At 46.4% G+C, this 16,422-nt stretch overlaps 2 annotated features.

Moving 5' to 3' along the window:
- Window positions 1,305-2,504: an enhancer, noted in NCBI's record as "MED14-independent group 3 enhancer chr9:125565210-125566409 (GRCh37/hg19 assembly coordinates)". NCBI's record gives its function as "activates an origin of replication core promoter dependent on BRD2, BRD4, P300/CBP and CDK7 cofactors, and independent of MED14, by STARR-seq in HCT116 cells {active_cell/tissue: HCT116}" and the evidence as "EXISTENCE:reporter gene assay evidence [ECO:0000049][PMID:35650434]".
- Window positions 8,785-8,954: a silencer, noted in NCBI's record as "silent region_20242". NCBI's record gives its function as "represses an Ori minimal core promoter by ATAC-STARR-seq in GM12878 lymphoblastoid cells {active_cell/tissue: GM12878}" and the evidence as "EXISTENCE:reporter gene assay evidence [ECO:0000049][PMID:35858748]".

The following is a 16,422-nucleotide window of genomic DNA, read 5'->3' on the forward strand; positions in this document are numbered from 1 at the left end:
CAGTTCTTAGAAAGCAAAACCTGCACCCCTTCTGCCACATCATGCTCTTCTGATGATCACTCTTAGGCATTTAGAATGCATTCCACCATTTCCTACAGACCGAGGGCAATCCAGGAGGGTGTGACATCCGCAGAACATGCCTTGTGTGGATGAGCACTTTCTCTTCAGTCATATGGCCATGTGTTCTCAAATAAATTGACTTCTCAACTGGGACTGGAATAGAGAAATTCACACACTCATGTGTGAAGGGCCAGCCCCTCCTAATGAGCTCAGTGTGGCACACAGGAGGCCCTCTGCACATCTAATATGAATAAATGACTCTGTGTTCATACTAACATGCATTTAGAAGAAGTCCGTTCTTCTAATTCTTTGTTCTTTCCCTTGTTTGCTATCATGGCACCTGTTCTGCCCCACCTGGCATTCTGTAGAAGGAGCACGTTGTGGACACGCACAGTCATGAATAAACAAAGCAAAGCTGAGAAGGAGGAGGCATAGGTGTTAGGGGCAGATGGAGCAAGCATTGGATAAGTCTTTATCGTATGCCAGCACTTCACTTATTTTTACCCACAAAAAGTATGGGTACTCTTATTGCCACTTTATGAATGAGGAAACTGAGGCTCAAAGCTGGTAACCTAGTCAGTGTCAGAGCCAGAACAAGCCCTTATGCCACATGGGTCATGCAGGTGTGTTTTAATGGGCCCCATAGAATCCACACGCCAGGTTTTGGTGTCTCAGTGGAAGCACTTGCAGGAAGAAGTCTCAGACCAGGGCAGGTTCGCTGCCTCAAGTAAGGACACATTTTGGGGTCTGAAAAGGCCTCATGGTGCCCAAGTTTTTACCAAACAGGTATGTGAGGCAGGAGCTTTTAGGTCTCTGTTTCTCTAAGAAATCTGCACCCACTTCCCCATCCCCTAGTCCCAACTCCACTCCTACCCCCATTCCGCTGCTCCAGAGAGAAGGAGAGAGAGCTACAGCGATCCTAGAGCCAGGTTAGCAATAGCCCCTTCCAGATCACACAGGTGAGCTGCCACCGCCCAGTCCCAGAGCTGCTACACTATGCTGTTTAGATCAAAAAGGACCTTAAAGGTCTTTAGACTGGTAGCTTTAATCAAAAAAAAAAAAAAAAAAAAAAAAACCAAAACAAACAGAAAACAACAACAAAAACACGTTATTTACATAGAAACACAATCTGTAAAACAGGGTGGGGGAGAAGCCATGCAGTGTGGATGAGGGAGGGTGAAAGGAGGCCCAGAATCCACCGTCGATGCTTCTCCCCACCCCCACTTTGAAAGGTCTTTGATCAAACCGAACACCTTCACTTGATAAATGGGGAAACTGAGGCCCAGAGTGGTTAAGGGACCTGCTCAAGATCACACAAAGTCAGTGGCAAACTTCGGGCTTCCTTGTTCAACCTGCCAGTGCCCCAAAGCCTGGCCCTGCCATGACATAGAGACCATCCTTTCCCAGCCTCCCTTCCTCCCTCCCACGCCCAGGTTATTTGTTTGTGCTGTGATGCCAGATCCTTGCTACTCTGTCAATAACTTGTCCCCTGGCCCCATGATCGACTTCCTCCGCTCTGCCTTCTCTAAAGCTTCAAAAACATACCGGCCATGATGCACATTCACTTGTGCCTGGAAACACCTGCACCACCAGCCCTGCCCTATGGCTTGGAGTCAGCTGCTGACCATCAGGGTCCTTGCGTGAGGCATCTCTGGGTCCCTTGAACCTAGCACAGAGAACATGCCTGTGACGTGCTGTGGCCTTGTGCGTCTCATGATCTTCCAGGTGAGTCATCCGCATCAGGAAGGGGAAAGGGGCACGGAAGAGTCAGGGGGTTGTTAGTGCTCCTGTTTTCCAGGCCACCAGCCCTGCCCCAGCCATTCTGCTCAGATTTCAACCCAAGAACAGGCCGCATCACTGAAGGGGCAGCTAACTCTCACTGGTCCCCACTGCCGACAGGGTAGCTTCTGTCCCTGGACTCAGACCAGCAAGCTACCTCTGCCTCAGCATGGTCAGTGCCTTCTACAGAATCACCACGACCAGAAGCACAAGCTCTTCCGGGTCCCACAATAGCCCAGTGCCAAACCCCCATTTTGGATATCAGGAAACTGATTCTCAAAGAAGTGAGGAGACCTGTCCTTGTTCCTTCTGCCGGCCAATTTAAGTTGTAATTCTCCTGTCCTCGGTATCATTCTCTTTTCACTACACCATAAATCAATGTTAATTAATGTGTATTGATCACTTGCTCTGTGCCAGGCACTGGGTTACATGCTTAATCTATCTCCAGACAACCTGGGGAAAACAAGGAGAAGGGAATGGTGGGAGCGTCAATAGCCCAGTCTCCAGGCATGTGGCTCCCTGGACCACCGTCCCACCCCACCCCACCCCAACTAGACCTGACCTCTTGTTTTACTTTGGTTAGCCCTAGAAGATGAAGTGATCTGGAGACAAGATGAGGAATCCATCCTTTCTCTGTCCCCAGAGAGGCCACTAAAGACTTCATAAGGCTGGACACAGTGGCTCACGCCTGTAATCCCAGCAGTTTGGGAGGCCGAGGTGGGCGGATCACGAGGTCAGGAGTTCGAGACCAGCCTGGCCAATATGGTGAAAGCCCATCTCTACTAAAAATACAAAAATTAGCAGGGCGTGGTGGTGCATGCCTGTAATCCCAGCTACTCGGGAGGCTGAGGCAGAAGAATTGCTTGAACCCGGGAGGCAAAGGTTGCGGTAAGCCGAGATTGTGCCACTGGACTCCAGCCTGGGTGACAAAGAGAGACTCCGTCTCAAAAGAAAAAAAAAAAAAAAAGACTTCATAAATCCACTGAAGTAGTTTTCCCTGGATCTTTTTCACATGAAATATAAAGAGACCGATTTTTAACACCTTAAATAAAACAAGTATATCCAAATGACCGACTCCCTTCCCGGCAGTCCCCTTGGAAGAGCTTAGGCTTATTCCAGTGAGGCTGCTTCAGCTCCAGGGATTTTTGCACCCCCTCTTTGCAAGGTCTTTGAGCCACACGAGGAAATCTACCTCTTCTCACCCGCCACATTCCCTGAGTTTATCCTCAAGTGACTTCTGGCCATTTCAGAATCAATTCATCTCACCCTCCCAGCACCGATATTTTCAACCCTTCAGTTTATTCAGAATAATGTGTAGTGAACCACCTCCGCCAGAAAAAATAAATAATTGCACTGCAAGAAAAGAATTTCAGAGTCTGCCTCTACAGCCTCATTTGTCATGTAATCTTTGTGCATTGTAAAGTAAGGCAGCCTTCATTTCAAAGGTATAGCAATTGGGGAGATTTTAGTAGTAAAAAAAGCTCACATCACAAATGGTAAATTGATTACTCCTTCTAAGGGTACAAAGAAAATTTCTAGAACCTAAGTCTTCTTTCATGCAAGGGCTTCCACAGGGAAAATGCAGCCATTAGGGATGCAAAATAAAAACATAAAGACTTTTTCTTGATGCAAAAATGACTGCTTTAAAATACTAGCAATGGGCCGGGTGCAGTGGCTCATGCCTGTTATCCCAGCACTTTGGGAGGCCAAGGCGGGTGGATCACCTGAGGTCAGGAGTTCAAGACCAGCCTGGCCAACAGGGCGAAACCCCATCTCTACTAAAAATACAAAAATTAGCTGGGCGTGGTGGCATGTGCCTGTGATCTCAGCTACTCACTCGGGATGCTGAGGCAGGAGAATCGCTTGAACCCAGGAAGCAGAGGTTGCAGTGAGTCGAGATGGTGCCATTGCACTCCAGCCTGGGTGACAAGAGTGAAACTCCATCTTAAATAATAAAATACAATAACAAAATAAAATCAAATCCTGGAAAAGCATTGATAGTCCAAGAAGCTGACAAAGCAAGCAGTTCAGCTCACTCTGAATCATTGATGCTTCCTCCAACTCACTCTATCCACAGCTCTTCTGTCCCGCTTCCTCCACATCCTTTACCTTTACATACCTGTACTGCTTTCTCCTTTTTTTGTCACATATTTTCCCACCTCCTTCCCTTTTTGTTCTCTGCTCTCTCGCTCATCTACTATTATTTACTGGTGCCAGCCCCCATACTAGGCACTAAGACTATAAATAAAGTCCTTGTCCTCACGTGCAATACAGGAACACAGTTCATGATCAAAGCCAGAAGAGAGATACAACATGCTGTGGAGCAGGGGTCTCCAAGCCACAGGCCACAGACAGGTACCAGTCCATGGCCTGTTAGTAGCCAGACCACACAGCAGGAGGTAAGCGGCGGGCAAGTGAGCACTACCACCTGAGCTCCTGTCAGCTCAGCGGCAGCATTAGATTCTCATAGGAGTGCAAACCCTACTGTGAACTGCACAGGCGAGGGATCTAGGTTGCCTGCTCCTTATGAGAATCTAATGCCTGATGATCTGAGGGGAACAGTTTCAGCCCAAAACCATTCCCCACCTCTGTCCATGGAAAAATTGTCTTCCCTAGTGCCAAAAAGGTTGGGGACCACTGCTATAGAGGAAGCATGACTTGGGTTGGAAGGGAGAGGAGAGTTAAGGAAAACTCACAGAGTGTGGTAGGTTACATCAATTGTGCTGGTTCCTCAGCCATCCCTGATGCCATACCTTTGAGCCATGTAACTTTGCCCTCCAACCACGACTGGGGTCTCAGCCACGCAACTTGCTTTGGCCAGTAAGATATTAGGAAGCATGATTTTAGCAAAACTTGAAAGGTATTTGTGATACTGGCTGGGCGAGGTGGCTCTTGCCTGTAATCCCAGCACTTTAGGAAGCCAAGGCAGGCAGATGACCTGAGGTCAGGAGTTCGAGACCATCCTGGTCAACATGGTGAAACCCTGTCTCTACTAAAAATACAAAAATTAGCCAGGCATGGTGGTGGGCACCTGTAACCCCAGCTACTCGGGAGGCTGAGGCAGGAGAATCACTTGAGCCCAGGAGTCGGAAGGTGCAGTGAGCTGAGATTGCACCACTGCACTCCAGCCTGGGCAACAGAGTGAGACTCCAACTCAAAAAAAAAAAAAACTATCTGTGATATTGGGCTTGTTCGCTTGTGTTTCTCTCATTGCCATGAGAAGGACATGTCCACCTAGTCCCCTGGTCCCAAGACAGGGAAGAGAGACACCTGGGGCAGGGCTGCTGTAGCCAAGGTGATCTAAGCAGAACCCTCAGCTGACCTGCAGATGTACGAGCAAAGACCAGCCAAGATCAGCCAAGCCCCAGCTGTCCCATTGACACATGAGTGATAATGAATGACTCATGTTTTAAACCACTGAGTATTGAGATGGTTTGTTACACCGTCATAGCAAACTGACGCAGCTCCCATAACTATTTCTGATATTTGCCTTTTTCACCGATGCAGTCTGGCTAGCCCCTTCAGTGTCCTGAGGGCTGATTGATCCATCAACATATACTTGCTTTCTCTGTTTGCTTTTGGGGATTTATATGTAAGTATGTCTCCGCCCGCAAGACTAGACCAATCTACCAGGGATTCTTTGAGGGTAAAAGTCAGGTTTTTCCACTGGCCTAGGAACTCCTGGAATAAGGGCCCCAGCTCCCCTTTTTCAATCTCAGGATCACATCCATGTCCTCACTATAGACACTGTTTCCTCTCCTGGTTGCCTTCTTTGGAGGCTGTCATTGAACCCACACACAGATTCAATTTAGACTGGAACATTTTCAGCTAGTCTCTGGTGAGAAGGAAAAATGAAACTGGAAAGGCATTGGTTACTGGAAGGATGACATGAGTAAAACAAATCAAATCACCATTTGTTTGGCAAAGAGCTCAACTTCACCCACACAGACACCACCACCTACTTCATTTTCTCTCCAAGGACCACAGAACAACTGGCAGGTTGTGGAGAAACCATGACCAAGACCATCCCACACACATCACGAAATCACATCACCACAGACCTTGGAAACCATAATGACATGGTAGGAAGTTAACTCAGCACAGGCCAGATGTGGTGCCAGTGGCTTTACATTCCTTGTACTCATAACAATTTAATACTCATAACAATCCATTGTGGCACACATTATTGTCTCCATTTTACAGATGAGAAAATTGTGACTCAATGAGGCAACTTGCCCAAGGCTCCAAGATAAAAATCAGTGGAACTAATATTTGAGCACAGATCTGGCTCTGGGCAGAAATGAGAGATAGCAAAAGCCCTCCCCTCCCCTGTTCTGATTCCAGACCACTCATCATGCATGAGAATCATGTGACATGCTCATGGGAAATGCATTTTTTTTTTTTTTTTTGAGATGGAGTTTCACTCTTGTTGCCCAGGCTGGAGTGCAATGGCGCAACCTCGGCTCACTGCAACTTCCGCCTCCCGGGTTCAAGTGATTCTCCTGCCTCAGCCTCTCAAGTAGCTGGGATTACAGGTGCCCACCACCACGCCCAGCTAAATTGTTTGTATTTTTAGTAGAGACAGAGTTTCACCATGTTGGTCAGTCTGATCTCAAACTCCTGACCTCAGGTGATCCACCGGCCTTGGCCTCCCAAAATGCTGGGATTACAGGCATGAGCCGCCGCACCCAGCCAAAATTGTTTTTTAAAAAGGAAATGGGATAAGGAAAGGCTGGATGGGCTGGAGGTGCTTCCAGGCAGGTAGAGAACTCTTTGGCGTACCAAGATGATGACAAGGAACTGAGGCCTTGGGAGTAGAGGGAGAGCTACATCAAAGACAAAGCCACAGAGTAAGAGCTGCATTTCCTGACCACCAACTACAGTAGTCTGCTCAGCTGCCCTAAAAAAATACCACAAACTGAGTAATGATAGAAATATATCTTGTCACAGTTCTTGAGGCTGGAGGTCCACCAACACCATGGTGCCATAAGGGTTGGTTTCTGGTGAGGGATCTCTTCCTAACTTGTAGACAGCTGCCTTCTAGCTGCATCCTAGCATGTATCTGCTCTGTGCACATGCAGAGAGCAAGGGAGCTCTGGTGTCTCTTCTTTTAAAGACAGTGGTCTTACTGGATTTGGTCCCCACCCTTATGACTCATTTAACCTTAGTTACCTCCTTCAGTGGCCCTATCTCCAAATACAGTCACTTTGGGGGTTTGGGAATTTGGGCTAGGTTGGGGACGGTTCAGTCCATAACACCAACTATGGGGCAGGCACCCTTCAACTGTTTCCAAGAGCCTCTTTTGATAAACATTATTATTGCCTGTTCATGGGTAAGGCTTCCCAGACAGTGGTAAAATTCTGAGTTCTGAGCTCTGAGTTCCTAGGTTTAAGTTCTAACTTTACTATGTACTAACTGGTTGACCTTGGGCAAATCATTTAACTAAAAAATGAGGAAAATAATATAGCTCTGAAGTGGTGAGAATTATCTAAGAAATAAATATAAACTGCTTAGAAGCCAGGCATGGTGGCTCTCACCTGTAATCTCAGTACTTTGGGAGTCCCAGGTGGAAGGATTGCTTTAGCCCAGGATGTAGGGAGACCCCCTGAAACTATTGCTACAGAATAAAAGATGAAATGCTCCTGATTATTGTAAATACAAAATTGCATGCTGGATTGTGTAAAGACAATGCCAGGTTGGACTGCCAGAACGAGCCAACAGCGCGTGATGTGCTTCCCCCTGCAGAGAACCTATGAATGGACGTGCAGTCAGGGAGGTTTCACATCACCAAGATTCCTATCCCAGAAAAGTAGATGTTCATAGCTCTGGGAATGGAATGGAACCCTTGTGGAAAGCCTATAAACGGATGCATGGGGGGGCGCCTGTCCATATGGATAAGATAGGGCTATAAATGCCCTCATCTTGCCACAGCTCTTCCAGGCCTCTTTAGGGTTAGGGCATACTCCCTTCTGAGAATTTCTGGTCTAACCGGTTCTCTAGCTTCACGTCCTGTTTCTATGGATTGTTTGTAACCAGCTTTTGTTGCAATTGTTACTACTGATTAATAGCTTGCTAATCATAGGTTACGGAAAGATTGTGTTTCTGTTTTAAGGCTCTGTTAGAAATTACTGATGCATGCACTATATTGTAAATTCTTATCTCTGTATACCGTACTTCTACGTACAAATGTACTGTACTTCTACATACAAATGTTATTACTTCATCCCCATGTGACCATCTCACCTCATAATCAAATGACCCTAAATCCCTCACTAACCCACCCCCGCTGTCACTAAACTTAATAATAAATGCTGGTATATCCAGTGCATTGTTGGCACCACGGGACCAGAAGGCGGTGACCCCCCCTGGACTCAGCTTTCACTATCTTGTGTGTGTCTATCATTTCTCAACCTGCCGATCCACCTGGGAACAAAGAGAGAGCCCCGTTGCACTGCAGGCTGCTGGCCAGATCCCACAATACCAGGAATTTGAGGCTGCAGTGATCTATGGCTGCACCACTGCATTCCAGTCTTGGCAACAGAGCAAGACCCTGTTTCAAAAAACAAAACAAAACAAAACAACAGACTGAAAAACAAAGTGCTTCCTTACTCTCACTATGACAGGTCTAGGGGACACAGGTAGTAAGTCACTGGAAACAAATGGTGGGATTGGGATTTGAAACAAAGATTGTACTCTTAACTAAGAAGCTATGTCTCCTCGAGTCACCCACCTTGCAGCATCTTGGGGCTGGTGGGTGCCGCCTGCCTTCCTGTTCTCTTCTGTCTGTTTTTTTCTCCCCCTTAGTTGACCATGATCTGAAAGTCAAGTGTATATATGTTGTCTTCATCAAATACCATTTTGTTTGCTTTGTTACTCATTATTTAAAGTGTGTGTATTTAACATTTTCCCGTTCTCATTCCTAAAAACAAATTCTCTAACATTATTCTTACATGGTGCTACGTATCTCCCTCAGGCCCCTACTCTGCAGTCTGTAGCACAGCGTCCATAATGGGAGCAAAACAATTCATTCCTTCTCCTCTGCTGCCACCGCGTGGCCATTTTGCATTATAACCCGCATTTCTGCAAAGTAACCAGGAGGTAACAACCTCTTTGGCAAGGCTGAGGATTTAACTTGATCTTGTTTGTTACCTGGTTCTCAGTGAGCATAGGTAGTAGACGTCTAATTAAAAATATGTAACATTTATGGAAACATGATATAAGAGATGATCTTCTGCCCTATTGTGGTGAATTCCAGCCTACTCATGTTGCCTTGGGGATTTTCCCCACTGAAGGAGCATATATTAACTGATGCCAGCTCAGATCAGAGATCAGAGATGACAGGACACAGTCCCTGTCCCCAAGGAAATACTAGTCTGGTCTGTAAACAAATCCAGTTCAACTTTGGCTACCACACACGCTGAAGACAGAGTTACCCTACAGAAAAGAGAGACAGAGCTATTCAAGTCACCAGGATTTCCCATCTCACACTTCGGAAAAACTTTAAATATTTCTTTAAGTTGAATTAAAATAATAGCATGATGACAACAATAGATAATTTATTGAGACATTTCTATGTGTTAAGCAAGGTGCAAAGTGCGTTCTGAGTATTAACCCATTGACCTCCTTTTTTCTGAGATGGAATCTCACTCTGTTGCCCAGGCTGGAGTGCAGTGGTGCAATCTCAGCTCACTGCAACCTCTGCCTCCCAGGTTCAAGCGATTCTCTTGCCTCAGCCCCCCAAGTAGCTGGGATTACAGGCGTGCGCCACCATGATCAGCTAATTTTTTGTATTCAGTAAAGAGGGGGTTTCACCATTTTGGTCAAGCTGATCTGGAACTCCTGACCTCAGGTGATCCGCCCGCCTCAGCCTCCCAAAGTGCTGGGATTACAGACATGAGCCACCGTGCCCGGCCCCATTGACCTCTTATCCCAACTACTGTTATCCCCCTTGTACAGGTGGGAAAATGGAGGCAAGGCTAGTGTTGGATGGACCCAGGTTTTGAGCCCCCATTTTCTTAACCAGTGTTGCCATCACCTGTAGGAAGACATGTCACAGTATGACTGCCTCTCTCTGAAGAGACAGCAAAGACTTAGGATCCAGAGAGGATGTGAGGTTTGAGCTGAATTTTCAAGGATAAATAGGATTTATTTGAGTTGACAAGGGGAAATTGGTTTTTTTTTGGGGGGGGGGTTGTTTGTTTGTTTTTTGAGACGGAGTCTCGCTCTGTCGCCCAGGCTGGAGTGCAGTGGTGCGATCTCGGCTCACTGCAAGCTCCGCCTCCCGGGTTCACGCCACTCTCCTGCCTCAGCCTCCCAAGTAGCTGAGACTACAGGCGCCCGCTACTACGCCCGGCTAATTTTTTGTTTTCGTATTTTTCGTAGAGACGGGGTTTCACCGTGTTAGCCACGATGGTCTCGATCTCCTGACCTCGTGATCCGCCCGCCTTGGCCTCCCAAGGTGCTGAGATTACAGGCATGAGCCACCGCGCCCGGCCGGAATTGGGATCTTAAAGCCCTTTTTTAATAAGTGGGATCAGGGTTTTGTAGAGGATGGATAGTTTAAAAAAAAAAAAACAAAAAACTGATGACCTCTATGGATCTAAGGAATGTTTGCTAGGTGCCTCACCATGCTAAGAACTTTAGCTCATTGAACACTTCCAGCCACCCTGTGAGATAGTTGCTATGATTATCCTCACTTGGGAGATCACAGCTCAGAGACACCAAGAAATTTAACCACAAGCATTCACAATCCAAAATAAATTCTTGGAGTGGAGGGAATCAATGGGAGTGAGGCTTCTCTGAGAACACAACTTCATATTCTGTTGGCTTTTAAACTGGGTAAATGTTTTATATGCTCAAAAAGGTGGAACCAAAAAGGATGTATTGGAAAAAAAAAAAAAAGCAAACGCTAGGTCAAACACAGTGGCTTACGCCTGTAATCCCAGCACTTTGGGAGGCTGAGGCAGGAGGATCGCTTGAGCCCAGGAGCTTGAGGTTGCAGTGAGCTGTGATTGCGCCACTGCACTCCAGCCTGGGCAACAAAGTGAAACGCTGTCTCTTAAAAATGAAATGAAATTAAAATAAAGAAAATCACCTTTACGCATACCCCCAATGTAATAATTTGGTTCAGGCAAGGATGCCAAGACTATTAGGTGAAACGTTATTGTAAGAAGAGGATATTCACACAGTCTCAAAGTATCACAACACAGATTTCTTTCTGCTAACAAAGGGGAAATAATTTTACTATATGAAGATTTGTCATTCACCACCTTAACCAAGTGATTAAACTTAGCATCATCAAGCTGACATCAGATACTCCCTGACTTATGTAGTAAGAACTACACAACATCACCTCTGGTGATTGTATTATTGCCAGAAATAAGGAAACAATCTGAGAAGCCAGAAATTGGAGCATTTTTTATGACAGTTGGCCTGGATTCTTTAAAAAGCCTCAGCAGAAGGGTGGCCAGGCTGCCAGGTGGCTGGGCATGATGGACCCAGCTGCCGGTCTAGCCCTTCCTTATGCCCAGGCTTAGACCCATCCCCAGTCACCTAAATGAATAAATGGTTAAAAGTCACTGATAAGGCTGGGTGTGATGGCTCACGCCTGTAACCCCAGCACTGTGGGAGGCCTAGGCCGGCAGATCACTTGAGGTCAGGAGTTCGAAGCCAGCCTGGCCAACATAATGAAACCCCACCTCTACTAAAAAAAAAAAATACAAAAATTAGCCACATGTGGTGGTGCACACCTGTAATCCCAACTACTCAGAAGGCTGAGGCAGGGGAATCGCTTGAACCTGGGAGGCAGAGGTTACAATGAGCCGAGATCATGCCACTGCACTGCCAGCCTGGGCATGGGCAACAGAGCAAGACTCCATCTCCACAGGAAAAAAAAAAAAAAAAAGACTGATATGAGCCAGGCATGGTGGCTCACCCTGTAATCCCTGTACTTTAGGAGGCTGAGGCAGGTGGATGGCTTGAGCTCAGGAGTTTGAGACCAGCCTGGGCAACATAGTGAGGCCCCGTCTCTACAAAAAATACAAAAATTAGCTGGGCACAGTGTTCCACACCTGTAGTCCCAGCTACTCAGTTGACTGAGGTGGGAGGATGGCTTGAGCCAAGGAGGTGGAAATTACAGTGAGCCAAGCTCACACCACTGCACTTCAGCCTGGGCAACAGAGCCAGACCCTGCCTCAAAAACAAATCACTGATATGAGAAACAAGAACAAAGGCAAGGGGACTATACTAGCTTAAGAGACTAAAGTCACAAAAATGAAATGTGTGAACTTGATTGCGTCCTGAATTTTTTTCAAAGAATATTAAAGAAATTTTGGGAACAAATAGAGAAAATTGATATGAACTGTGTTTTAGATATTGTTGAATTACTGTTTATTCTCTTGAGTGTAACAATGGTATTTTGGTTATACAGGATCAAGACCCTTTTCTTAGGAGAGTCAGTGAAGTATTTAGGAGCAAAGTCAAGATGTCTGCAAACTTACATCTCAATAGTTCCGCCAGGCGCAGTGGCTCACGCCTGTAATCCCAGCACTTTGGGAGGCTGAGGCGGGCGGATAACGAGGTCAGGAGATCAAGACCATCCTGGCTAACACGGTGAAACCCTGTCTCTACTAAAAATACAAAAAATTAGCCGGGTGTGGTGGTGGGTGCCTGTAGTCCCAGCTACTTGGGAGGCTGAGGCAGGAGAATGGCGTGAACCCAGAAGGTGGAGCTTGCAGTGAGTCGAGATCGCGCCACTGCACTCCAGCCTGGGTGACGGTGAGACTCCGTCTCAAAAAAAAAAAAAAAGTTCCACAGAAAACAGAGATAAACAAATGCAGCAAAATATCAACTTTTGATGAAGCCACGTGAAAGATATACAGATGTTAATGGTAATATTCTTTTCAGTTTCCTATAGGTTTCAACGTTTTCCAAATAAAAGATTAATAATTAACTAATACAATGTGAGAGTCTGAAGCATCTGACGAAATCATCTAGCCAGATGCGTGGCTCACACCTGTAATCCCAGAACTTTGGGAGGCTGAGGCAGGAGGATCGCTTGAGCCCAGGAGTTTGAGACCAGCTTGGGCAACAAAGTGAGACACTCCACTCTACAAAAAATAAAAAATTAGCCAGGCACAGTGGCATGCACCTGTAGTCCCAGCTACTCGGCAGACGGAGGCAAGAGGATCCCTTGAGCCCAACGGTTCAAGATTACAATGAGCTGTGATTGCGCCACTACACTCCAGCCTGGGTAACAGAGCAAGACCCTGTCCCGAGGGGGAGGAAAAAAAAAAAAAGATCATCTAGTTCAACTCCTCACTTTACAAATGGGGAAATGAGGCCCAGGAGAGGAAGAGATGTATCTGAGGGCACTTAACTAGTTACTGAAAGAGCCAGAGTCCACATTAACTATTCTCCCTATTGCTGTCACTTGTAGTGGGACACGGGTGGCAGTGTGTGGAGGAAGGAGCCTAAGAGATGGATTTTGGGAGGGAGGACTCTCTTGAGTCATGGTAGGAAGGAGATGCCCCTCAACAGGGGCACATTGTGGGTCACTGCCACAGCTGAGACAGGAGGAGATTCTGGCCTGAAACACAGGCAGAATTGAGAGACCCAAGGCTCCATCAGCTCAACTCCTTTTCGCTCTTTGAATTCTCTTCTTGGCCGGTCGCGGTGGCTCACACCTGCAATCCCAACACTTTGGGAGGCCGAGGCAGCCAGATCACCTGAGGTCGGGAGTTCGAGACCATCCTGGCCAACATGGTAAAAACCTGTCTCTACTAAAAATAAAAAAATTAGCCTGGTATGGTGGCACGTACCCGTAGTCCCAGCTACTCAGGAGGCTGAGGCAGGAGAATCGCTTGAACCCGGGAGGCAGAGGTTGCAGTGAGTTGAGATCACGCCACTGCACTCCTGCCTGGGCGACAGAGCTAGGCTCTGACTCAAAAAAATAAATAAAAATAATGAAATAAATAAATGAGTAAAAATAAATTATCTTCTTTATTTCCTTCCTCTATTCTCTCCACTGTCTTTCAATGTTTCTATTTTATTGTCACTTGATCAGTTTGCTTTCTCCATCAAGAATATGACATCAGGAAAATAGTACAAATGTTGGAACTTCACAAACCTGATTTTAATCCTGCCCTGCCCACTAGCTGTATAAGTTGAAATGTCACTTAACTCTGCTAAGTCTTGGTTTCTACACCTTTGAACAGTTACTACTTCCTACTTTGAAAAGATGTGCCATTCAATGAGTCAATGTGTTCATTCTTAAATGTTTATTCATCTTTTGCCAAGTGCCAAGCACAGTGTGGGCACTAGACCAATAAAAACACTTCTGTGTGTTCCAGGTACTTTATATTAATTGACTCATGTTACTATCAGCATTTCACAGATGAGGAAACTGAGGCATGGAGGGATTCAGCATCTTGCTTCCAAAGGTAGTATCAGGCTGTGCCTAGAGACCAAGCCCTTACTCTATGCCAGTGGTCCCCAACCTTTTTGGCACCAGGGAACGGTTTCCTGGAAAACAATTTTTCCACAGACTGGGGTTGGGTGGGGGGAGTTTCAGGATGATTCAAGCGCATTGCATTTATCGTACACTTTATTTCTATTATTATTACATTGCAATACATAACAATTATACAACTCACCAAAATGTAGAATCAGTGGGAGCCCTGAGCTTGTTTTCCTACAACTAGACGGTCCCATCTGAGGGTGACGGGGAACAGTGACAGATCGGCAGGTGCTGGATTCTCATAAGCAGCGGACAACCTACATCCCTCGCGTGGGCAGTTCACAATAGGGTTCGCACTCCTATGAGAATCTAATGCCACCGCTGATCTAACAGGAGGTGGGGCTCAGGCAGTAACGGAAGCAATGGGAAGCGGCTGTAAAAACAGATGAAGCTTAGCTTGCTGGCCCGCCGCTCACTTCCTGCTGTGCAGCCTGGTTCCTAACAGGCCACAGAACGATACTGATCTGTGGCCCAGGGGTTGGGGACCGCTGCTCTATGCCATACATGAGGAAGAAAACAAAGTCCGTGCCTTCCTGAGACTTTCATTCCAAACGTGAAATCTGGAAGACTCTGGGACAGTTTGTGATAGACAAATGGTTCCTCTTTCCTTCCCCCAATTCCATGGCTAAAAGGGAGAATCACAAAATAAAACAGGAGAGAGGCAATCTGAGAGCTACCCCATTTCAACTCCCTCCCTCTTTTAATAAGGAAACCAAGAGCAGTGAGCACTTGTTCTGTCACAGGTGCACTCACTCACCTTAATCCATAGGTCAGTGACTCTCAAACTTGAACAAGCTTCAGAATCACCTACAGGGCTCATGAAAATAGTTTGCCTAGTCATTCCCAGAATTCCTGATTCAGGAGGTCTAGGGTGAAGCCCGAGAATTTGCATTTCTGACAAGTTCCCAGGTGATGCTGAGGCCGCCACTGCTGCTGGTGCTGCCCCAGCTACCACACATGAGAACCACCGTCACAGAACAACTCCACAAAACAGGTTATTTTTGTTCCCATTTTACAGATGAGGAAACTGAGCATCAGGAAAGGTAGGTTTCTTACCAGAAAGAAGCTACACCACTAGACTGCCAGACAGGATTTGAACCCAGATCTGCCTGACTCTAAAGCCCATGCTGCTTCCACGACACCAAAGTTAAGAGATCTAACATTCTCGGCCCGATGCGATGGCTCATGCCTGTAATCCCAGCACTTTGGGAGGCCGAGGCAGGTGATCACCTGAGGTCAGGAGTTCGAGACCAGCCTGGCTAACATGGTGAAACCCCATCTCTACTAAAAATACAAAAATTAGCCAGGCATGGTGGCAGGCACCTGTAATCCCAGCTACTCAGGAGGCTGAGGCAGGAGAATCGTTTGAATCCAGGAGGCGGAGGTTGCAGTAACCTGAGATTGTGCCACTGTACTCCAGCCTGGGCAACAGAGTGAGACACCATCTCCAAAAAAAAAAGTCTAGGATTTCTCCATTACCATTACATGTCTACTCTTTTTTTTAATTTTTTTTTTTTTTTTTTTTTTTGAGACAGGGTCTCTGTCGCCCAGGTTGGAGTGCAATCATGGTTCACTGCAGCCTTGACCTCCCAGGCTCAAGAGATCCTCCTGACTAAGCCTCCCAAGTAGCTGGGACTAGAGGTACAACACCGTGCCCAGCTAATTTTTTCTATTTTTTGTAGAGATGAGGCCTCACTATGTCTGCCTCAGCCTCCCAAAGTGCTGGAATTACAGGCATGAACCACCACACCCAGCCCTACTGTATTTTAGAACTTCTGTTCTTGAAAAGCAAAGTCAAGTTCCCTGTAAGTGCATAATATATTCTCATTTTCAATGAGAACAGAAGATGGTTTGTAAAAGCTATTTTTAAGTGTCCCTATTTGCCCAGTAATTCCTCTTCTAGAAATCTATGAGAATAATTCAAAATATAGCCCAAAACACAAAGGCATTAAGTGTTCAGCAAAACACTGAGAATCTAAATAACCAATATAAAGAGATTGGTTAGGCCGTGCAGCGTGCTCACGCCTGTAATCCCGGCACTTTAGGAGGCCGAGGCGGGCAGATTA

Source organism: Homo sapiens, chromosome 9, assembly GCF_000001405.40.
Source record: "Homo sapiens chromosome 9, GRCh38.p14 Primary Assembly".
Lineage (NCBI taxonomy): Eukaryota > Metazoa > Chordata > Mammalia > Primates > Hominidae > Homo > Homo sapiens.